At 33.5% G+C, this 25,547-nt stretch overlaps 1 protein-coding gene across 34 annotated transcripts in view, besides 2 other annotated features; it reads right to left on the bottom strand.

Moving 5' to 3' along the window:
- CCDC91 (coiled-coil domain containing 91) overlaps positions 1-25,547 on the bottom strand; it is a 359,711-nt gene that overhangs the window by 274,200 nt on the left and 59,964 nt on the right. For 14 of the 34 annotated variants that reach the window (NM_001352079.2, XM_047429083.1, XM_047429090.1 and 11 more), the window contains 3 exons: positions 20,305-20,386; positions 18,722-18,765; positions 16,525-16,603 (listed from right to left, as the gene is read on the bottom strand). The exons of 3 other annotated variants lie outside the window; for them this stretch is intronic. In NM_001352079.2, coding sequence (NP_001339008.1) covers positions 16,525-16,603; positions 18,722-18,751 — 109 coding nt within the window. In that variant the 5' untranslated portion in view covers positions 18,752-18,765; positions 20,305-20,386. Of the gene's footprint in view, positions 1-16,524; positions 16,604-18,721; positions 18,766-19,888; positions 20,387-25,547 lie in introns of all 34 variants that reach the window. 17 more of the 34 variants (NM_001352086.2, XM_047429086.1, XM_047429084.1 and 14 more) reach the window with 4 other exon arrangements.
- Positions 22,530-22,689: an enhancer, noted in NCBI's record as "active region_6155". NCBI's record gives its function as "activates an Ori minimal core promoter by ATAC-STARR-seq in GM12878 lymphoblastoid cells {active_cell/tissue: GM12878}" and the evidence as "EXISTENCE:reporter gene assay evidence [ECO:0000049][PMID:35858748]".
- Positions 22,700-22,879: an enhancer, noted in NCBI's record as "active region_6154". NCBI's record gives its function as "activates an Ori minimal core promoter by ATAC-STARR-seq in GM12878 lymphoblastoid cells {active_cell/tissue: GM12878}" and the evidence as "EXISTENCE:reporter gene assay evidence [ECO:0000049][PMID:35858748]".

Below are 25,547 nucleotides of genomic sequence, written 5' to 3'. Positions count from 1 at the left end.
CGTCCCATCAATACCTAATTTATTGAGAGTTTTTCGCATGAAGGGTTGTTGAATTTTGTCAAAGGCCTTTTGGGCATCTATTGAGATAATCATGTGGTTTTTGTTTTTGGTTCTGTTTATATGCTGGATTACGTTTATTGATTTGCATATGTTGAAACAGCCTTGCATCCCAGGGATGAAGCCCACTTGATCATGGTGGATAAGCTTTTTGATGTGCTGCTGGATTTGGTTTGCCAGTATTTTCTTGAGGATTTTTGCATCGGTGTTCATCAGGGATATTGGTCTAAAATTCTCTTTTTTTGTTGTGTCTCTGCCAGACTTTGGTATCAGGATGATGCTGGCCTCATATAATGAGTTAGGGAGGATTCCCTCGTTTTCTATTGATTGGAATAGTTTCAGAAGGAATGGTATCAGCCCCTCCTTGTACCTCTGGTAGAATTCGGCTATGAATCCATCTGGTCCTGGACTTTTTTTGGTTGGTAAGCTATTACTTACTGCCTCAATTTCAGAGCCTGTTATTGGTCTATTCAGAGATTCAACTTCTTCCTGGTTTAGTCTTGGGAGGGTGTATGTGTCGAGGAATTTATCCATTTCTTCTAGATTTTCTAGTTTATTTGCATAGAGGTGTTTTATAGTATTCTCTGATGGTAGTTTGTATTTCTGTGGGATGGGTGGTGATATCCCCTTTATCATTTTTTATTGCATCTATTTGATTCTTCTCTCTTTTCTTCTTTATTAGTCTTGCTAGAGGTCTATCAATTTTGTTGATCTTTTCAAAAAACCAGCTCCTGGATTCATTGATTTTTTGAAGGGTTTTTTGTGTCTCTATCGCCTTCAATTCTGCTCTGATCTTAGTTATTTCTTGCCTTCTGCTAGCTTTTGAATGTGTTTGCTCTTGCTTCTCTAGATCTTTTAATTGTGATGTTAGGGTGTCAATTTTAGATCTTTCCTGCTTTCTCTCGTGGGCATTTAGTGCTATAAATTTCCCTCTACACACTGCTTTGAATGTGTCCCACAGATTCTGGTATGTTGTGTCTTTGTTCTCGTTGGTTTCAAAGGGGATGCCCTCTCTCACCACTCCTATTCAACATAGTGTTGGAAGTTCTGGCCAGGGCAATCAGGCAGGAGAAGGAAATAAAGGGGATTCAATTAGGAAAAGGGGAAGTCAAATTGTCCCTGTTTGCAGATGACATGATTGTATACCTACAAAACTCCATCGTCTCAGCCCAAAATCTCCTTAAGCTGATAGGCAACCTCAGCAAAGTCTCAGGATACAAAATCAATGTACAAAAATCACAAGCATTCTTATACACCAATAACAGACAAACAGAGAGCCAAATCATGACTGAACTCCCATTCACAATTGCTTCAAAGAGAATAAAATACCCAGGAATCCAACGTGCAAGGGACGTGAAGGACCTCTTCAAGGAGAGCTACAAACCACTGCTTAATGAAATAAAACAGGATACAAACAAATGGAAGAACATTCCATGCTCATGAGTAGGAAGAATCAATATCGTGAAAATGGCCATACTTCCCAAGGTAATTTATAGATTCAATGCCATCCCCATCAAGGTACCAATGACTTTCTTCACAGAACTGGAAAAAACTACTTTAAAGTTCATGTGGAACCAAAAAAGAGCCTGCATCACCAAGTCAATCCTAAGCCTAAAGAACAAAGCTGGAGGCATCATGCTACCTGACTTCAAACTACACTCCAAGGCTACAGTAACCAAAACACCATGGTACTGGTACCAAAACAGAGACACAGACCAATGGAACAGAACAGAGCCCTCAGAAATAATGCTGCATATCTACAACTATCCGATCTTTGACAAACCTGAGAAAAACAAGAAATGGGGAAACGATTCCCTGTTTAATAAATGGTGCCGGGAAAACCAGCTAGCCATATGCAGAAAGCTGAAACTGGATCCCTTCCTTACACCTTATACAAAAATTAATTCAAGATGGATTAAAGACTTAAATGTTAGACCTAAAACCATAAAAACCCTAGAAGAAAACCTAGGCAATACCCTTCAGGACATAGGCCTGGGCAAGGACTTCATGTCAAAAACACCGAAAGCAATGGCAACAAAAGCCAAAATTGACAAATGGGATCTAATTAAACTAAAGAGTTTCTGCACAGCAAAAGAAACTACCATCAGAGTGAACAGGCAACCTACAGAATGGGAGAAAATTTTTGCAATCTACTCGTCTGACAAAGGGCTAATATCCAGAATCTACAATGAACTCAAACAAATTTACAAGAAAAAAACAAACAACCCCATCAAAAAGTGGGCGAAGGATATGAACAGACACTTCTCAAAAGAAGACATTTATGCAGCCAAAAGACACATGAAAAAATGCTCATCATCACTGGCCATCAGAGAAATGCAAATCAAAACCATAATGAGATACCATCTCACACCAGTTAGAATGGCAATCATTAAAAAGTCAGGAAACAACAGGTGCTGGAGAGGATGTGGAGAAATAGGAACACTTTTACACTGTTAGTGGGACTGTAAACTAGTTCAACCATTGTGGAAGTCAGTGTGGCAATTCCTCAGGGATCTAGAACTAGAAATACCATTTGACCCAGCAATCCCATTACTGGGTATATACCCAAAGGATTATAAATCATGCTGCTATAAAGACATGTGCACACGTATGTTTACTGCGGCACTATTCACAATAGCAAAGACTTGGAACCAACCCAAATGTCCAGCAATGATAGACTGGATTAAGAAAATGTGGCACATATACACCATGGAATACTATGCAGCCATAAAAAAGGATGAGTTCATGTCCTTTGTAGGGACATGGATGAAGCTGGAAACCATCATTCTCAGCAAACTATCAGAAGGACAAGAAACCAAACACCGCATGTTCTCACTCATAGGTGGGAACTGAACAATGAGAACACATGGGCACAGGGAGGGGAACATCACACACAGGGGCCTGTTGTGGGGTGGGGGGAGGGGGAAGGGATAGCATTTGGAGATATACCTAATGTTAAATGACGAGTTACTGGGTACAGCACACCAACATGGCACATGTATACATATGTAACTAACCTGCACATTGTGCACACGTACTCTAAAACTTAAAGTATAATTTAAAAAAAAAGAATTTTTATACAAGCACAGTTGACATCATTTCTAATTAGGCCATAAGCATATATTACAATAATGATACAATACTCTAAAGTGCATTAAAGGTACAAATGTCTTAGCAGTAGAAACACACTAATATCAGAATCTAGCACATAAGGTCCCCATATGCTTCCTTTTCACATGAATAGTTTTTCACTTTTGAGAGCATTACGGCATCAAATAGCAGAATATATGAATAAAGAGAAGGAGGAAGGAAAGAAAGAAAATTGAAATTATAAATTCAATGGACAGATTTACATCACCTTAGACAATAAAGAAGTAGTGAAATAAAAGCCATATCTGAAATTACTCAGATGGCAGAACAGCCAAAACGTGAAAAAGAGGTTAATGGACATAGTAGAGAGAGTTTTTTAATTTTTTTTCAAAAAAAAAAAAAAGCGACTTTACTAACACTAACTAGAGTTCCAGAAGGAGAAAGAGAATGGAGCAACAACAACATTGGTAAAAACAACGGCCAAGAATTTTCAGAAGTAATAAAACTTCCCATAATTAATTTGTTGAGCTTTTTGGGCTTCTTAAATCTAAAGATTCAATCCATACATTCAGAAGCCCAAAAAATTCTAATCAAAGAAAATAAGGTATCTTTATGTAGTATATCACAGTAAAACTACAGAACAATTACATAGTGTTAAATCATGAAGTGATCCAGAAAGAAAAGAGCAATTATCTTCAATGGAACAACAACTAATGGAATCAACTAACTTCCCAAAACAATTACGGAAATCAGAAGATGGCGGAGTAATATCTACGTTGTGCAGACCAAAGAAATAACTGTCAATTTAAAAGCTAGAGGAATCTATCTAACAAGAATAAGTATTTCCAAACAAGCATAATACTGCTAATAATAATGTCTTGTGGACTTATATATATAATATCTATATTTATATATAATATATAGCATATATTATGTATTGAGTATGTATTTCATATGCATATACAATACTTATATATATACACATTTAAAATGCTACACAATAGCATAATAACAAAAGAATAAATTAATAAATTTCAAATGTTCCACATTCTTTGTATTTTTCAAGAGGAGGCTAAAGATACTAATTAGTTTCAGGTTTTAGTGAGTTAAGAATGCTTATGAAAATTTCCAGGGATACTACGGAAAGAAAAGAAGCAGAGTACATAACTTCCAAACTAATAACTTTCTTTGGCCAAAAAGCAATCAAATTAGAAAACAATAACAATAAAAAGCAATCAAATTAGAAAACAATAACAATAAAAACAACTGGAAAAGCCCCATACTTGGAAATTACGAAATACTTTTTAAAAAATTCAAGTATCACTTAATCTGAAAATTGTAATTTAAAAATAAAATTGGCAAGATACAGTTAAAGCAGTAATCAGAGGGAAAATCATAGCCTGGAATACTTCTGTCTGAAAAGAAAGGTTAAAAGTAGTAAGATAAGCATAAAATTTACAAAATTAGGAAAAATATAATAAACAATAAAATAGACAATAGAAAATAATGATCATGAAAGAGAAATTAATCAGAAAACAAATATAAAATTGACAGTGTATCTACATTGCCAAAAGTTAACACTTGAAAACATGCTCTCTGTTTCCCTCTGTCTCTGCTGTAAAGCTTTTTGTAAGCCCTGCCTCCCTTAACATCATAGGCGTTTGCCTTGCTAATCCTGAGTTGAACTCAAACACTGCCTGTATCTGATATTCTTCCTAGCTATAATGCGGTACCTACCTCACTCTCTCTATCCCTTTATTACACGCTATGCTGGCACTCCATATCTCCCCTTAAAAGTGTATCCTAGTCATAATTAAGTAAGAATCTGAATAATTATTTAATTTCGGTGTACCTTACTAGTTTGCAAAAGCCAGGAAGGCAAACATCTTGTTTGTCTTGTTTGTTCCCCATTGTCTCACCTGTGCTTGATATACAATAATTTGTTGAATGGGGGAGAAATCAAACAATAGAAGGTTGAACGTAAACAGTCTTACCTCCTAACGTCAAGCAGGATCATAACCAATGAGAATCTAGTTTGTCTTTTAAAAAATCAGGAGAAGTAAATTTCACAAATTTAATCAAACATATTCCATCGACGCAAAATACTTGTGTTTAGATTATAAGACCAAGGGTTGAAATTACTTTAAGGTTGCTCCTTTAGGAACCTAATGGATTGATGAGTTGAGTAAATGTTTATTCGCACATTTAATGTACAATTCTATCAGCAAATGTTTCCTTGAAATAAAATTAACATTGTGTTCGTAAATTTTTAAGAGATGAAGAAAAGTAACAGTTGATTTACATAACTAAAGCATTTCTTAATAATCAAATTGTGTGTAATATTTGATTACAGTATTTTGTCAACGCTGTATTGTCAGCCACATTGAATTAAAGTTTCCTCCAAACCAGCTAAATCACCTTTTATCCACTTTTCTATGGCCTCAGACTTGACAGATACAAAATGATCAAACTCTTCATATCTTTAGCAAACTTTCTATAGGATTAAGTTTAAGTAATACCTTCCCTATTGATTCACAGTTCTAAAGTATATCTCTAAACATCTTTGTGTTCTAAGTACTTTAGGCAGTCTCTGTGATTTATTCTAAAATTACTTGGGAAGGTCCATTAACTAAAACAATCTATCTGAGGAGGTCCACAATAAAACTAGCCTTTAACACAGTCACTCCAAAAAAAACAAATCTAGAAGATTTTCCGTTTTAATGTAAATGTAGGAAATTTTCATTATTAATGAAATTATTAAATCATTATTAAACATTTTTATTAATTAAATCATTATTAAAAATGATTATCACCTCAGCAATGCTTTAATAAGGAAAAAAATTAATGCATACTAGCTGCAAGCCAATATAATCATGTAAATTAATACAAAAATCAGAATTGGGACTAAAAAAAACTTTGATTAGGCACAACAGCAATACCCAAATCATGGAGGATTTTATAACTGCAATTAGTTTGTAAAATTTATTCAGGAGATTCCTAATAACAGGTACAAATCTTTAGTGCCCAACAAAGGAATTACAACAAAATATTCAGAGGAATATCATAAGTCAAAATTACAACCTCCAAAATTATAATCAAATCATGTTTTATTGATATTCAGGAATCCACAACAAATGAAAACATAAATCCTACACATTTCTAAACTTTAAAATCAAATGTCACAAACAGGTAACATTTACTGATCATTCACTGTGTCCCAGCCCTCTCTGGTGCCACTTAAAATAATGGAGTCATGGGTGGCAGGGTTGGTTGGGGGGAGCAGACACTGAGAGTGGATGCAGGAAAAAAAGGTGCTTAAGTCATCTAAGAAAGATATGATGGTGGCTTTTGACTGAGATAGTGACCAAGGAAGTAGAGAGAACTGAAAACATCCCTGGTTTGAATGAACTTAGAAACTACAGAAATTGCTGATGGGTGGGATATGGAATAGATAATCACAAGGAGAGAATGGGCACAAAAAGGGGTTGGAAGATTCCAGAATCTCAAGAAATCATGGTACCCTCCCACTCCGCCTGCCACAAAGAGGAAGTACCACAAATACAGAGGAGAATACCACCAAGAATTAGAGACACCGTTTAAGAAGCTCAAATGCCCAACCTTTAAAAAGAGGGAGGAAATACATGAAAACTCAACCTGAGTAAATACAAAGTATAAGTTCATTTAAAATACACATTAGCAACAACAGTATTCATTACGGGCATCAGTACAGAGACATCAAGCCAAATGTGCATAGGGCATATCTGTCAGAACCTCTGGTTGTACTTGTCCTGTAAGTCTCATGTTCCTGTGGGTCCCTCAACCCTGTCTGGCCACTTGAAAATTCATACAGCAAAAGCATTTACTGTTTCCAGCTACAGCTAGGCCCAAGAGTCCAATACAAGAATCTCAGGGGTAAAGGGAGGGAGGAAGTGAGTGATGGAGGTTATTCTGTTTGATTCAGGTCCAGTCTTAGTCTGTGACCTCCATACCAGACACTTGAGGTCAGATTCAAAAATTTTTCTTAGTCTCATATTGCACTATTCATCCACAGTAGATTTTAGGTAAAATCTACTCCCTCCTCCCTTCCCCATGCCATCCCTACTGAGTAAACAGGATGATGACTTCTACCCTCTGAAGATTCAGACACGGGGCTTGCTCTGAAGCAGTCCTGGATATAGCTCTGTGGCCAAAATAATGGAGCCCTCATTCTAACGAACAAGAAGAATTCCAGAACCAAAGGGGAGACTGATATTCTAGACTTCACAGATTCTATGAAAATGTGGTGTTATAGAATCTAACATTATAGAACAGTCTGTCAGTTTAAGGCTTCCTACTGATCTCTTAAAGGTACTCTGAGAACAGTACAGATGGTCATGAGATTCTTCCATGTTGTTAATATGTAGCTATAGTTTGTTAATTTTCCAGGTGTATGGTGTTCTATTATATAAATATAATCCAGCTGGGCACAGTGGCTCACGCCTGTAATCCTAGCACTTTGGGAAGCCGAGGTGGGCAGATCACGAGGTCAGGAGATGGAGACTATCCTGGCTGACATGGTGAAACCCCATCTCTACTAAAACTACAAAACATTAGCTGGGCATGGTGGCACACACCTGTAATCCCAGCTACTCAGGAGGCTGAGGCAGGAAAAGCTCTTGAACCCGTGAGGCAGAGGTTGCAGTGAGCCAAGATTGTGCCAGTGCACTGCAGCCTGGGCAACAGAGCAAGACTCTGTCTCAAAAAGTTATTATTATTAATTATTTTTAATTTTTAATTTTTAATTAATAATTAATAATTAAATTATTAATCATATAATTAAGTATTATATAATTAAGATTGGGTATATATTAATTATATATAATTATATATAATAATTATATATAATTATATATAATTATAATAATTATATATAATATAATTATATATAATTATAATAATTATATATAATTATATATAATTATATATTACTATATAATTATATATAATTATATATTAATAATATAATTATATATTACTATATAATTATATATAATTATATATTAATAATATAATTATATATAATTATATAGTAATATATAATTATATATAATAAATAATATATATAATTATATAATTATATATAATAAATAATTTATATAACATATAATATAATTAATATATTAATTGGGTATATATATTAATTAGGTATATATGACCTCAAATATAAATTTTGACACTGTTCAGAGTCAAAGAGCATGTCTTGTTCTATGTTTATATTAGTAAAATTAGTAAGTAAACTGTTAATTTTAAATAATCTTTCAAGTCACAGAAACAATATACATTATCATCCTAATTAAAATAGCTTTGCTGAAAATACAAGAATATTCACTACAGGTCTGTTTGTAACGGCAAGAACTGAAGTGAAAATAACTAGTTACATTAATAATAATATATCCTTAAAAAACAGTACTATGCGACCACTAAAATGAATTTGGAAAATCTATAAGTACTTCTACAGAAAGGTCTCCAAATTATTGTGGAAAAAAAAGCAAGGAGTATTACTATGTATATATAATACACTGTCATCTCTATTTAAAAAAATAGACACGACACAATTGTACATGCCTGGAAGATATTGGGATGGTTAAAAAAGAATTTATAAAACTATAGCATCAGAAGTGAGACTAGAGAACTAAGATAAAAGAAAAATTTTTCACTGTATATCTTTTGCATTATTTCCCTTTTCTTTCATACCCTTATACTATATATATATATGTACATACGTGTGTCTCTCAAAAACAATAAAAAGTATCTTTTCTGAGGCCAAAAAATGTAATTCAGGATGGATAGCTGATGAGAATTGTATATACTGGTATAAGAATGGTAGGCAATGATTCCTACTGTTTCTGAGCTAAATGGAATCTAAATTTTGTTTTATTTCCAGTGGTTTTTTTTGGTGGGGCGGGGGGCGCTAACTTAGGATTATAAAGAGTCAGAGCACTATCTTCATATTATAGAAAAAATACTCATTGCCAAACCTTCATTTTTTAGCAGTATCAGAAAATCCCTATAGCACTATTTTCAAACTATTTTACTTTTCTCTAAATATATCCTAAAATATCCTAAAATGCACACCACAGTCCTTAAAAAGCAAATTCAGATTCAGATAGAACAGATAAAGCAGGTACCATAAAATACTGTTAGAAAAAGCAATGTGAACAGTAATTGATTGTTAAAAGATACCGAAAAAGACAAGGTTTCTCTTAAGAATTATAGTTCTTCACATTAATATTTGTGTTCTATGTTTTTAGAACCACCGTAATTTATTAGATTAGTACTGTCAGTTATACCACACAGTTAAACCAGGCACCATAATTCACCTAGTAAAAGCTATTCATGTTACAGACACTATGACCAGAAAATAAAATACTAAACTGAGAATTCAAAATCTCAAAGAATTGTTTAGATATCATCTAGTCTTTCAATTTATAGATTTGCTAATTGAGATTCACAGAAGTTACATAGTTAGCTGAAGGCAAAGACAGAAATCCTCACTCCACAACACGGATATTTGACTCTAATCCACACTATAATAAACCTAATCTTCAGAAGCATAGCAAATATCACTGTATACTTCCTATCATATGCATTAATAAAAACATGAACTGCAATAAATTACTGAAAACCCACATCAAGACTAGTATTTATATGTACAGTAATAATTCACAGCTTTATAGAAGCTATCATTTTAGGCGTCATTTTTAAAAACTGGCTCCAGAGTAAAAGAAGGTGAGTTAATAACCTAGGAGTTAAACAGAAAATACAAGATGTAGCAAAAAGAAGATATGTGACAAATTTCTATTCAAATAATCTGTGTAAAGGCACTACAAAATTATTAGACTTCAACAGAAATCTGGTTTATGTCCTGACAAAAATGTCTAATGTAAATACAAAGACAGACGGAAAGTTTTTAAGCATTACCTATACTGCCTACCATAATGCACATATGTGACTATGTAATAAGTCACCTTCAAATTTTACCTCAAATATAAATCAGACAAATGAATTTGATTAACATTCATTATTACTAGGTACAAACTACAGATTAATCTGAAGAAAAATATTGAGACAATTTTTCCTCAAACAAAAATTTGTGGACTCAGGTTCTGAGCTCTCATAGATATGTAACACAGATTCTACTGGAAAAACAGGGTTAGTAAGGAGAGTAATGGGATATTAATAAAATGACCGATCTGTTGTCCTAGGTTTTCCTGGACAGAATGGAGAATGGAAAAATTGAACCATGAAATCCAAAAGGCATCTGTCTTCCAGGTTTCTCTCTGCCAATGTCTTGAGAAAAATGTTTGAACTTTCCTGTTGGCTTTGTATGCAAATAGCTCCAGATGCAAAGTGAACCACATCTAACTTATTTGGTTCAACATCTGCTGGTCCAATTCCCATTATTCCTTCTAAAGGGTCAGCTTGTGACAGTTTAGTTTGCCCTCTATATAAGCTGTTTGGAAGGAGCTAATTTGGATTAAAGTATCTATCTGGATAGCTTGTTTTTCCCTTTGATGGTCAATGCATTCTAATGTGGTCTGTGTAGTGCTACAAGGAACTTAGAAACATATTAGAAAGGACACTATTCAAGGTTTTGCCTCCCACTTCGCCTTCTAGACAATTTATATTTATACAGTTAAACATAAAAAGTGAACAGTTCTTTGCCTCTAAAACAGCACCACCCACATTGTACACAATGGCAACATGACAACACTTTCTGACATAATATTCTTTTCATGTAGCTGCTATCAAAGATTTGAACTTAAAGTTACTGATGAAAGTGTTTGCCAATATTAACAACACATTTCATGAGACATCCTGTCCTTTTAGATGACAGCCTTTATATGGCATCACTGAAAATGAAATAAGGTGCACGGGTCATGGCATTTGGTGTCTGAAACACAGTAAATTTTCAAATATATGCTAAGTGAGTGAATGAATAAACAAATGAACAAACAAACCAAAGAATTAATTTAAATAAACTCCATGGATTCTGAAACTTTGAGTCCGCTACAATGAGAAAATAAAATAAAATACATGTAGTAATACCAAACTAAGACTAACTTCTTAGAAATTGCAAGGTCAAGTCATGATACAGTCCTTTCAAATCAGTACAGGTAAAGAATTTACATTGGAGGGGGAAAAGGAAGAAATCAGAATACACACACACACACACACACACACACACACACACAGACAGACATATATATATATGTGCCTATATTCTTATACACATATATATACATATATACATACATATTTATATATAAGAAGATAGCCATTCATTTTGAAAAGTCTCTGCTCTTATTAGTTTACTAAAAAGTAGAGCATTACTAGCCTTATGAACATTTATAAAAGACAGTTACTTGTGAATAATTTCTTTTAAAAGAGATTTCTTAGCCAAAAAAAATTATTAATTTTTTTATAAAATACAGTGCTATGAGTAGCCAACTCAAAAACTTTCTTATGTTAGATGCTCTGCAAAGTTGGAGATGATTTTTCTTTGGAAACAAATGTTTAGAAAAGTAAGTTAGAAAAAAAGAAGGCAAAAGAACTACATACTACTCTTATTCCTTCTAGACCTGTAATATATTAAACTAAAATTTAGTCTAGTCTCTATTGTTACCTACTGGCATACAGCAGGACCAGGGAAGAGATGAGAAAAGGTCACCAAAATAGCTGTTGTTTCTTTCAGAAAATCTGTGACTGCTCTTGTTAATCATGATTTCCAGGTCATATGTTTGCATTGAGAATGACCAGGAAAGTTAATTGAGCACCAAAAAAAAAAAACAGCTTTTTAGCTGCCTTTGAGTAATTAGCTAAGATTTCTGAGATTAATATATTTTTGAAGGCAAGTTTGGTTTTGCCTTCTTTCAACTTATGATAGAAAGACTAATTATCCCCAAAGAATTAAAAATAATCAAGAAGAGTTAACAAAGTAAATCTGCTCTACTCATCAAGAAATAATTACTACACATTGTTTATTAAAAAGGCACAGTGCTATGCTAGACACCAAGGATTCAACAGGTTTAAAACACAGTCACTACCCTCCAAATCTCAGACTAACATAGACATAAAGAGATGGGAGTCATACTTATAAAATATTTAAAAATACAAATTAGACACCCATGTTTATAGCAGCATTATTTGCAATAGTCAAAGGTAGAAGCAACCCAGTGTCCATAAACAAATGAACAGATAAACAAAATGTGGTCTATATAGGCAATGGAATATTATTCAGGCTTAAAAAGGAAGGAAATTCTGATACATGCTACCACATGGATGAACCTTGAGAACATTATTCTAAGTAAAATAAGCCAGTTACAAAATGACAAATACTGTATGATTTTACTTTATAAAGTATCTAGAATAGTCAAATTCATAGAAAATAGGATCCTAGTCGCCAGAGGCTGAGGGAAGGGGGCAATGGGGAGTTGTTTGCTGGATACGGAGTTTCGGTTTTACATATACAATACTGAACTGTACACTTAAAAATAGTTAAGATGGTAAATTTTATGTTTTATGTGTTTTACCACAAATTTTAAAAATACAAATTAGCATATGCTAAGGACCAAACAACTGGTACAGAAGTAAAAGAACGGTAAACTCAAAAGAAGTAGCAGTTAATGAGATGCAGAACAAATTCAGTGATAGCTCCATACTTTTTCTTGAAAGAAAAATAAGACTCAAGTAAGTGGATGGAAGATGAGGTAAGTAATACAATCAGGAGCAATGACAAAAATATAGGAACAGACAATGGGAACACTATGTGTATCACAGTTTGGCTTACAGGCTTCAAGCAGAATAGCATGGAAGGCAATGTGGAGGGTTAGGCTATGAAACAGAGAGGAAAATGCTTAAAGAAAGGCAGTTCTTCTCCTTGGGTAGCTTTCACTAAAATAAAGTAATAATTTCTAAATGTTTATGGAGAGTAAAGGAATTAGGAAAAGAGCTTGATAATTTCATATTCATTCATCTCGTATTTACATTCTGCAATTCCTATGACAATAAGGGTGTAAAGACACATTTTACAGGTTAGATATCATAACTTAAGGAGATACAGGCCTAGAGATAATACTTTGTATAAAGCATCAGCATGCACATTTCATTTATTCTTACTGACAATTCATTAATTTCATCAACATTGCCTATAAGCTAGCATTTTAAGAGTTCACTATGTAAATAATGCTAACATACAGTAAGATGCATGTCTTGAGGCACCTCAACCCATTGACAGAACTGCAGGCTATACAGACACTTTAAGAAATACATTATTATCCCAGTTGCTATTATGAAATCCTCCTCCACCTACTGGCCTGTCCTGAAGCAGTAGAATCACTAGGCTCACCAAACCCACCTCATTCTTTACTTAACAAAATCCTTTATCCTAACCCCAAGAATGAAGATTTTTATTTTCCCCAAAAAACTTTAAAAATGTAAACCAAATGTTTCTTAGTGCTCTTCTTGGATTTTAAGCTGTGGTAAAGCTTGGTTAATCATCATGTCTTTTTAAAATATTTTCCATATGGATTATAGACAGCTAAGATACAGGTAGGTGGGAAAAAAGGAGAAAATTAGTCTTTTCTTCAACTGAAAAGAATCTGCCTTAGATCTCTTAAGGGGTTCCTATCTTCTCAGGTCTTTACTGTGGAAATGATTACATTGTTAGCTACGTAAGCTGTTCACATCACACTCACCTAAACAACTTCCAGCTACCTGAATCAAGAGGCAGACTTCTCCAGTCAGAGGAAGACAACTAACAAAGGAAAAAGATAGCTTTGGCTGAGCAAACATGCACCATGTCTTTAACTTCAGCCCTTAGCCATGTTTGTTATTCTCCATTTCTGCAAGTCACTGAGAAAATCTAGAAAGAGTTAATTCTTCAGATCTAATTTTTCAAAGGGAGTGAGGGAAAAAAGAGTGTGTGAGTGTGAGTGTGTGCATGTGTGTGTGTGCCAGATGATTTGTCCTTTAATTCCAGTTTCGCGAAGGTTTGAGAACTTGACCCACTAATACACAGACGTGCAGATGTGACATATAATATTCACTCCTAGAGAAGAGGAATTAGATAATTTGCTCATAATATACAATTTTTTAGTACTTTGCCACAGTTTTATTATAAGAAAAGAGACTCTGTTCATGCTTTCATAAAAAGTAAAGAAGTACAATTTGCCTTAAACTTCCAGTCTACTGAAATCATTTCCTCAAAAGCCACTTATGACCATCTATGGTTTTTTTCTCAGCCTCCAATCTCATTGACCTCCCTAATGCCTTTGGCATCAGTGCCCATAGCTTCTTTGAAATTTTCTACTTCTAATTTCTGTGTTGCAGCACTAGCCCACAATCCCCTTACTTCTCAGATCTCTTTTACCTCCTCCTATTCCACACCTTTAAACATCCAAATTAATCTACTCAGCCTTATTCTATCTATGTACTCTTCCTCCCAGCAATCTCCTACAACTTTAAGTGTCATTATCAATGGGAAAACTCCTAAACCAAGAACTCCAGCCCTAACCTTTCTTCTGAGTTTCAGGTTCCTTAAATATATTATACATGTCTAACATTAATTCATTAAGGCTCCATCTGTCCAAATCCAAGTCTCAAATTCTCTATTTCTGTTCATGGTAACACCATTCTTTCAGAACCAAGACTTGAAACCTCAAAAATCAATTTTAACTCCTCCTTCACTGTCACATCCAGACAGTCCTGCTGATAACTCTTTTCAAAAAACCTGAGTTATTGAAAAAGAACTGAAATAGAATCTGAAAGAATACACTTCATCCCTAAACACAGTTATGTGTATCAAATGATAAAACTTTTTAAAACCATTTTGTCATCCACACAATGGAAAGAGTATAGTTGCTCTGCCTACTTTACAATAAACAAATGCATGACAGCACACTAAAAATCCTGAGCCATTATATAAATATCATCTACTATCCCAGCTCTCCCTATCCATTTCCAATGCCATGCTAATCTGTTAATTCATTCAGTTACTAGTTCCCTTGTTCACTTTATTCTTTATTCATCCTCCAAATACTTATTGAGAGCCAACTATAAGCCAGATACTATGCCCCACATTTAAGATATAACAACAGGACAAACAGACATAGTGGCTAACCCACAAAACTTGCTGTCCAACATGAAAGTCAGATAATAGGTGCACGTAGACATGGGAGGGTTTGCTGGAAAGGTGACCCAGAAAAAAAAATTAAAGCAAGAAATACTTTTAAAACATAGGAGTTAGTATCATAAGGGGGTAGGAATGAACAGCAATGAGAAGCAATAAAGACAATTCCCAGCAAAGGAAATAACACACAGCCCTCAAATAAAAATGAGCATCCTAACAATGCCATCACCTTTCTCTCATTTACACTTTTGTTCCATTTATCTTTCTCCCTTCAAAATCTTTCCTCATTCTCCCATATCTGCCTATTGAAATTATATGCACCCTTCAGAGAACAGATCAACTGTATAAACATATACATATATTTCCAGCTGCCAGGTTACTACTTGACTCAGATCAGGTATGAAAATAAGAATTTGCTAAATAAATGGATGATAAAATCATCATTCTTCCCAAATGACAAATCTATTTCATATTACAAATATGCATGTGCCTACCTTATCTACCCTTGAAGTAAAGGACTAGACTATGTTCCATACATCTCTATATCCCCATAGTGCCTAATGCATAATAAGCACTTGATTAATATTTTACAATAAATAACTGTAACATTTGAGGTCTAGGCAGAGCTGTTGAAGAAAATACTTTCATCTTCTCCCAACTTTAACAGATTTAACAGAAAACTCTGAAAGCTCAAAATATTCTTTTGACATAAATTAATATTAAACATGAGGTCTTCCAAGAAACATCTGTCAATAATGGATTTATTTTTGTATTTAATTTTTAATTTTAATTTTCAATATTTTTAAGTAATTTTATTGCAAACACACTTCTAAATTTAAATATGTTGGAGATGATAAATTATTTTTGGACTATAAAAAGGAATCTTTAATGAACTGGACAACCTAAAAAAGTTATTGGGCACCTCACCTTCCAAAAACTAAGATAAATTTAAAAATGTAAATTGTAGTTTAATTTCATTTAATGTTCCTGATATCATCTTTAGAATCAGCCTCAAGTCACCATCACAAAATGTGTTATGTAATTCACAATTTGTTATTTTAAAAACCTAAAGAGTAAATCTGGATCACTCCATTTTTCAGATCAGTGAAGGACAAGTAAAAAAGTTGAGAAATAGGGTTTCAAAGAGTTGCCAAAAATGTTACATGGGAAAAAAAAAAAAAAAAACCCTAATTCCTGGATACCAATACCTGCAGGAAAGGCAGCCCAAGGAATAGCAGGAGATGTTGTTTGGGTTTCACCACTTCCACCATCAAAAGTCTCCGCAGCCTACAAGACAAAGGCAAGATTATTTTAGAAGATGTGAAAAGCAGAAATGCTATTTAAGTGATCAAGCATTCCAGTTCAATAGGCATATCTTCTATAACACACCAGACATTTTCATATTCCCTCTAAATAACTGCTTTTCAGTCTTAACTCCTACCACTCCTATCATGACTCACCACCCCCAGTACCCATGCCTTATTAACTTCAAGTAAAAATTTTTTCCTTATTCAGATAACTCTACTGTTAGTCAATATTTTTATTTTATATATTCTTAATCACATTTTCACTTGTAAACTTTATATTTAAGTATTTTAACTTAACTTACCACATTTAACCATCTATGTAGGAAAAATATTTGTCTTTAAAAAATATAGACACCAAATTCTTTTAATTAATTAGCACAAGACCCAATTAGAGATTAATTCAAAGAAATAGGATTCATCTGTCTTGAATAATATACTACCTAGAGTTAATAGCTTTCAATATTTAGAGAATTTCTAAAACTCAAGTTTTCAATTAACAAGCCGTCCTATTTTGGAACAATTACTGAATACTGAGTTTGTAGGTAAGAGCACAGAGTTTTCTGTCTGTTAGATGCCCAGGTCACAGCAAATTTTCTACTAAAAATTAGAGCCAGAATTTCAATGTGTATTCTCCACTGAGTTGCCAACCCCTTAAGGAGAAGTTAAAAGGGGTAATCTGACACAGGAGCTAAGTGACACAGAATACAGTAGCTATTCTCTACAACTATGAAAAATGAACATATTTTATATAACCAAGGGTAGAGACCTTCCCTATTTATACAGCAGGATATGGAAAGAAAGAAAAACCTAATAACTACAATTAAATTGTAACACTGGTTAACCTGTACCTATGCAGTACTGAAAGGAATCAATTTGATGAATATAACAAAGTGTAATACTGTTATTCTACAGAACACTATCCACTGTATTTTTTTCCTAAATAATACATGAAGTGTGGTTTAAATAAAGAAGACTATGCCAGACTGTAACCCTCAAATAACAACTTCTAAACAATAAACTAAGCCAGATGATATCTGAAACATACATTTTCCTCAAAATGGAAGGCATTTTAACAAAAATAAATGTTACATTTCAGTAACATAAATAAGATTCAATCACTCAACAAAACCAAAATATTAAGCATACAAGCATGCTTAAACAAAAACCAGTTTTAGATGAAATAGAGAAAACAGGTATGTCTATACTCCATATTGACTGATTTTAAAGATCAGCAAAAGAGAAGAAGATCCTAACAAAAACCTCACACCATTCTTTCATGAAATTCACAACACTGAATATATACTTAACATCTTATTCATCCTATTAAGGTCATTAATTACAATCCCTGGTTTTTATAATTCCCTTTTTACCAAATCCAAAGTAGGTAAAATTCTTTAAAAAAAAAAAAAAAAATCACAGCATTCCCTTGATGGTAGTTCCAGGACTTGAGCTCAGGCCTCCTGACTCCTAATCCAGAGATTTTCCTGCAAGACTATACTGGCTCCATAAAAATAACTGGGTTATAAAATATTTCAATAAAATGAACACACATTGAAAAGGATTAAGGAAAAGACAGTGCTCCTTCAGCTAACAATTTCCACTTACAAAGTATCCATTCCTAACCTACTAGAATAATCTAACAATACAAACATACTAATTAACTTTATAACCACCAAAAGGCTATGTACTTAATATACTAAATCAACTCATTGCAGGTATAAACATGCAAATATGTGACAGGATCTTTAGTACTCATCCATCATCTCACAAGTATTTCCTAACAGACATGTATCCCAATAAAATCATCTGCTGACAATTTTTAAAATCTTTCCTTTAGTGCTTACACTGGTAGCACTTAATTAACTCAATTTAAACCATTCCTATGGGCAAGTCCAAATGTTCTATAATAATACATCAGTTTTAATTTTTAGAGGGTTTTTTTTTATTTTTCTTGATTTCATCTTTTTACTCCAGAATTACATTAAAATGATCAAGGAAATATCATGAATGCCAATGAAATATAATACATTTTCAAAATAGTTTACTCCATTATAATCCCACAAAGTTAAAACAAACTAATGTAAATAACAGTGCATACCTCAAAACCACCAAAATCATCATCATCCATTCTTCAAGTGGCACCTGAAAAATATAAGATATTGAAACAAGCCCGCACACACACAGTCATTTATGTCAAAATACTCTCCAACTTAAATGTATACATATTTATTTGTAAATTAGAATTTCTAACTGTCTATGCATTTTTTATGCAAAAAAGAATTTGCAATTGGCTTTTACTTTTTGGCAAAATTAGCAATTTCTGTAACTTTTTCAGCAACCATGTATTTTGCCATTTTATGTTGAGATGCCAGGAGTGGAAAAATATTCTTTTACATTTTAATTTGCTTTTCCCAAATTGGCACTAGAGCTCAATTCAATAATGCTTCCTGCTTTTTGCATCTATTCCTCAGTTGTCTGGCAACATCAGCACAAACTCCAGCTAAGAACAGGACTGTGGTGAGTTTTTGGAAATCTGTCCCCTACCACAAAGGTTCTTCCCTCGGTTTCAGGGCCAAGGCTGATTTAGATTTTCAAAATTGATCAGCATTTTTGAGCTGTGGCCACAACTTTTGGATCATTTTGATATGTGTATTTTTAGCTGAAACTGCTTTGCACTTTTGGAAAAATGTGGAGCAAGTTACTAGGCTGATCAAGATAAATCAAGTCATGTATTCATGGGAGATGAGGGATGAGAAAAACACAAATAAATATCCAGAATTCCTCTTTTCTTTACTCTTAAAGTATGTAAGAGAGACAAGCACTCAAATATTATTTGCTTTTTTAGTCCTAAATGTATATCATAAAAATGAAAAGATAAAACCATTAGTATCAGGGCTTTAAAAAAAAAAAAAGGAGCAGCAGCTTTATCAAACAAACCATGCAAGAACTAAATAACCTGAAAAGGTGAAATTAGTAAGAGGAAGTATACATTAAAATGAAAAATAAGTTCTCATATAGATTGTTTCTTAATTTACAATTTGGAACCTGTAATTGTGAATCTATAGCTGCAAGTAATACTCTAGTCAGTAATAATTGGTTTATTTTTCTATCATTCAGAAGTGACCATATGACAAAATAATCTGTACAACAAACCCCCATGACAGGAGTTTGTCTTTGTAATAAACCTGCACATGTACCCCTTAACCTAAAAGTTAATTTAAAAAGCAATGTTTTAAATTAAAAAGAAAACTTTAAGTGAACATACCCAAATGTTGATTATAGTTTCCTTGACTCAGTAATACAAGATGGACTTCATTACAGGAAAACAATCCTTTCCCACTTCTAAAATAAAAATAGCTATACATATTAAACTATATGTTAAACATTAATCTTAAGGGCATTTTCTAAGGTCATTTGCTTTAAGTAGTCATCTATATCTGTGCTTTACCTTCTGGAAACTAGTGCTAACACCTTCAAAAAGAAAATTCAAAAAATTGTCAAAGAAAAAAACAGTAAAAACATTAATTTCAACGATTGTTTTAACAGGCAAAGGAAATTCTTTTCACAGAAACTCAGTAGGTAATGACACTAAAAAATATATATTTAGACAGAAACATATTGTAAAAAGGAAAGGTATTAAATTAACCAGAATATAATCATGGTATCATTACCATTACTCACAATTTTAGCAATCTGATGAAAATGTTTTATAAAATGTATTTCTCCAAAAATTAAAACTAAGCAGGTCATCCACGTATAGCACCTAAAAAATATAAACCAGACTTTCAGAAACTTTTGATGATGTTTAGTTTGAAATGGAACTCACATTATTCTGTGTTGCAAGTGAACAGAAATCTGTATGTGGCTACATTTTTCATGAAGAAATTATGAAAGAAGAGTGATATGAACATCAAGAATTAACCAAGTCAAACTATAAACACCAACTTTATCTCTTCCACATGTATCCCATGAATCTGAAGAAACAAAAAATTTTTAGCATCTACATATGCTGTACTCAAATAATATGGTTTCAAAAGAATGGAATTTTTAGAGTAATGCTTCTGTGTGTTTTCTTAAGTCACTTCCCAATAAACTATTTGTAAGGTGACAGAAAATTTGAAAATAAAAACAAATACCCACATCTAACAATCATTTCAGCTTGTTTGACTGTGGTAATGAACCAAATACAGTCAGTTTCCTAAGTTCTGATTTAGCTCTGCAAAAGAACATACTAGTGACCACTGATGTTTTCCAGACTCCAGCAACTTTTACATATTCGGTGGCTCACGCCTGTAATCCCAGCACTTTGGAAGGCTGAGGTAGGCGGATCACCTGAGGTCAGCAGCAGTTCAAGACCAGCCTGGTCAACATGGTGAAACCCTGCCTCTACTAAAAATACAAAAAATTAGCCAGGTGTGGTGGCACACGACTGTAATCCCAGCTACTTGTGGGGCTGAGGTAGAAGAATCGCTTGAACCTGAGAGGTGGAGGTTGCAGTGAGCCGAGATCGCACCATTGCACTCCAGCCCAGGCAACAAGAGTGAAACTCCATCAAAAAAAAAAAAAAAAAAGCAGATGATACTCTTCCTTTTATTTTCAAAGAAATATTAATACGTTTAAAAAAACAAATTATGTCCCAAGTTACTTAACATATAATTCTAGAGAAATATTTTTAAAGCAATAATCTTTCTGCATATAATTTAGACTTCAATTCCTGCAATAGTTTACTTCTGAGCATTTTAAATAGGAGAAAAGAAAATTAACAGCATTGACTTGTAAAAATAAAATTTATAAAATATGAAAATCAACAGTTTTTAAAAGGAAATATACAAATGTGGGCTTATTTATGTATTTAGCTACTCCAATACATTTAAAATATTTACTTTATCTAAAGTGCATTCTTATCAAGTATTTTAGAATATTCTAGCATTTAACATTATAGCCCATTAAACTACAAATATTATAAGAATGTAGCAACAGCAAATATATCTGACATCTAAGTTACAGAATCATAAGCCTGGCCAAAACATTAACAGATCACATAATTCATTCTTTTGTGTAATGGCAGAAAGACAGGTGTATACTTCATTATAATTAGGAATCTACGCTGAAAGTTTTCACAATATCAAGGTCTAACAATTCTCAAACTTCTTTATATCTAAATTTAATCTCTTTTTTTGCCTTATTGTATTAATTCCCTACTTTGCTAGTCTGAATATTTAATACACTGCTGATATTCTAAAAATGTTTTATAAGAAAGACATACAAAAGGACAAAACATATACAGAATACACAATGTAATAAACTTTTATTCAGCAATTCTGTATCAGTTAAGGTCCTCAAAGAAGTTACAGTCTGGTGTACAGAGGAGGGCAGAGTGTAAGAAAAGCATTCAAATACAAATAACATAAGATGTAAAAGAGTCTCAAAAGAGAAGAAAAAATTTCCAAAGTAAGAAGAAAGATTTTCAGAAGATGATATATCTGGTTGGAAGCATCATTAAATGCCTAAGGTAGAAGGAGACATTTGAGAAAGATTTCAACAGATCTGACAGAAAATGTCAAATGGCACATCAAAACACACATTTTATTCATCTTTACGGAAAGGTATCCCTGTAAGAATACAAAGATTTCTTTTGATTATTGGCTTCTGCATAAAAATTAGGTCAAAGAGAATGTGAAATGAGAAAACTACAAGAAATTTCAAAGCAAATACAAGGAAAATGAGTCACTGGAAAAATGAGAATCACACTTATGAATACATAAGAGAATCCTCAAAAGGCTCAGCAATGGGAGGTACTGAAAGTCAAGTAAAACCGAAACTCAAAATTAAGAGTCATAGGTATATGCTAAGACCACTGCCAGAATCTGCACAACTGGGTAACCTACAATTTATCACCACAGCAGAAGACTGGAGGTTCATTCCCTGGACAGGGTAAAGCTGAGGGTCTCCAGGCAGGAAGATATCAACACAGGTGGACTAGGTGAAGTTATATCTTGGGGAGGGGAGAGGGTGGTTAAATATGTAGACCAGTAACTCCAGACATCTTTCACTACTCAGCAACCAAAACAACAGCGGCTGGGCTGAAACCTCTAGTCAGAAGAGCTGCAGATTCTTCAGTGATGAATCTACTCAACCCATGAAAAGGACCTTATCAGACGTTCCACAAAGAAACAACTCACTCATGAAATACTACTTTGACAAATCCCACCCACAAGCACAAAATTTCCAATTAGCTTCTAATTTTAATAACAGGCAGAACAGCATAAAGGTTAAAAGAAGGGACTATAGAGTTAAGATGGCTGGATTCAAATTCCAGCTCTGCCACTTACTGTGTTACATTGGGCATTTTACTTAAAACATTGTGTGCCTCAGTTTCCTCATCTATCGAATATTATAATAGCTAACTCCTAAAGTCAGTACAAGGATTAAATATGTTAAAACAGATGAAGCACTCAGAACAGTATCTGATACATTCTAAGCATTATATAAGTGTTTGCTACTTTATTAGTGCCTCAATCTTACATGTGAACAGACTATCAAGGACGACCAAAGAGATGAAGAAAGCATCTAATTAAAAAACAAATAGAAGAAAAAAATAGAGACCAAACCATAAAAGAAAACTAGGATGAAATAAACAAAGACTATCCAAGAAAGAAAAAAACAAAACCATAGTATCTTCAGAAAGTTAACAACAGAAGATAGTTCATCCATGAATTACGAACAGGATGCCCTAATTTCAGGGGAGAAAATGATCAAGAAAGGAGTAAACAACAAGACTGAGGCCTTGGAAATAAAAATATATAATTGCAGAAATGAAAAACTGCCGGATAGAAAATAAAATTAAGGAAATTTTCTTTTAAAAAAGTATAAGAGAAAAAAATGGGAAGTCAGAGTAAAAAAAAGTTACAAGATCCAGCCTAGGATACGTAATATCTAATTATTAGGACTCTAGGAGTTCAAGAAAGACAGAAAAGAGAAAACAAAAGTAAAGAAATCATCAACAAAATAATTCAGGAAAATTTTCTAAAACAAAAGGATATTATATCCAGTAATGGGTATATCAACTGTCCAAGAGAAAAAAAGAAGAAAAAAAACCCACAGCAAGGCACAGTAGAGACAAAGGGAAGATCCTACAAGCTTCCAGAGAGAAAATAGGCTTCATTCAAAGGACCAACAACATAATGGTCTCACACTTCATAACAGCATCACTGGAAGGTAAAAAACAATGGACTAATAATGCTTTTAAAATTCTGGGGGAAAATGATTTACAGCATGGAATTCTATATTCAACCAAACCAACATATAATTGAGGGAAGAATAAAGTCATGTTCACACCTGTAAAGTCTCAAAACAATTTTTATTGCACACTTTCTTTAAAAGCTATGGAGTAAACCAAGAGAATAAGACAAGAAAGAAAAAGACATAGGATTAGGAAAGATCCAACTAAAGTGAAAAGCAAAGGGATTTCTCCCAGAATAATAGTGAACTGAGTTCCACAATACCTATGAAGCAAGAAGAGATACCTCCAGTCTAGATTGGAGCAAATCAGAAAGCTCCTGAGACATGTATTCAAGAAATGAAATAGACTAGCTCATATGTTTTACCATCATGAGTGTAATTTTAAACAATTAGGGGAAACTTCAGAGTTGAATTAGTGACTAGAGAACTAACCAAATGAAAACAGAGAAACCAGTATGAAGGAGATGAGGAGGCTGGAAAAGCATGGAGGACACAGAAGACAGCAGTATTTCATAGCAAGCCTTATTACAATTTTAAACTATGAGCACAAAAAAACAACATGGCATGATGAGCCAGCTACCTATTAGTTCTATCAAAATATTCTGAGAAAAACTCAAGAAAGTTTTTCTTTACAAAACTAACCATAAAAGACATAAATGCTTTAAATTTGCATTTACTCAACAAATAAATTAGGATTTTTCATAATAGTCTCCATTATAACATCTTCCCATATTACAAGTATTCATACCAAATACAAGATTGTATCTCTAGACACCAAAGTTGCTCAAAACCTAACCAACCTGCACCCCTCCCCTTCTAAAAAGGTCTAATAAAGACATTTTGATAACTGACTTCAAAAAATAAAATCTCAAGAGACCACCCAAATTATCTGATCGTCCCCAAATATCCTATTAGTTAACACTGTCCACTTAGCATTCAACTAAATCTCCATCTGATCTGGAAAACTACTTGCTAACATCCTCACAGTCGCAATAATACTTTTCCATTTGATCCTGTTTAATGCCATGTTTCCTAGAAGCAACAGAGACAAGTGGTTTTTTTTCTGACTCTTCTGGGCAAACAGAAATTAGAGAAAACAGAACAAAGGAAATACACACACACACACACACACACACACACACACACACTCAAACCTTAAAGTTAAAAATAGAAAGCAATTAAGACTGAGCTAATTAGAAGAGTCAAAATATGTAAGAACAGAATTTCAGGCTTATTGGGTCAAGAAAATGTAACTGTCTACCTAAGTTTATATAAGAAATCTGGAGGTAGTGTGGGGATCCTTTCTTTATTCATCTTTTTTTTACCCTCCAGCAATTGAACTGAGCAGTTCCTAGCACATAGTAAGGGCTCAAAGAATATTTCTGAATTAATGCCTTCAAAATAAATGACTGAATGACAGCAAATTAGTTGCTAATAGTTCCCACATGACTTCCTTTTCCCTCTTACTTTTCCAAGAAAATTACAGTGGATCTTGGGCACTAGAAGACCCAGTTGCTAGCATTGAAACAGCTCTACCCATATTAAGACTGTGCCTAAGGACCAATATCTTAAAAGATACTACATTGCTACTTTATATTCTCATCAAGTGTCCAATTATTATTGGGGTTAATAATTTTGAAACTGCCTATGAAGCTGAATTAAAGAAGTATTGCCATACTATG

This window comes from Homo sapiens, chromosome 12, assembly GCF_000001405.40.
Source record: "Homo sapiens chromosome 12, GRCh38.p14 Primary Assembly".
In the NCBI taxonomy this organism is placed as follows: Eukaryota; Metazoa; Chordata; class Mammalia; order Primates; family Hominidae; genus Homo; species Homo sapiens.
The sequence above is the reverse complement of the archived record's forward strand: the minus strand, read 5'-3'. Positions and strand labels throughout refer to the sequence as shown.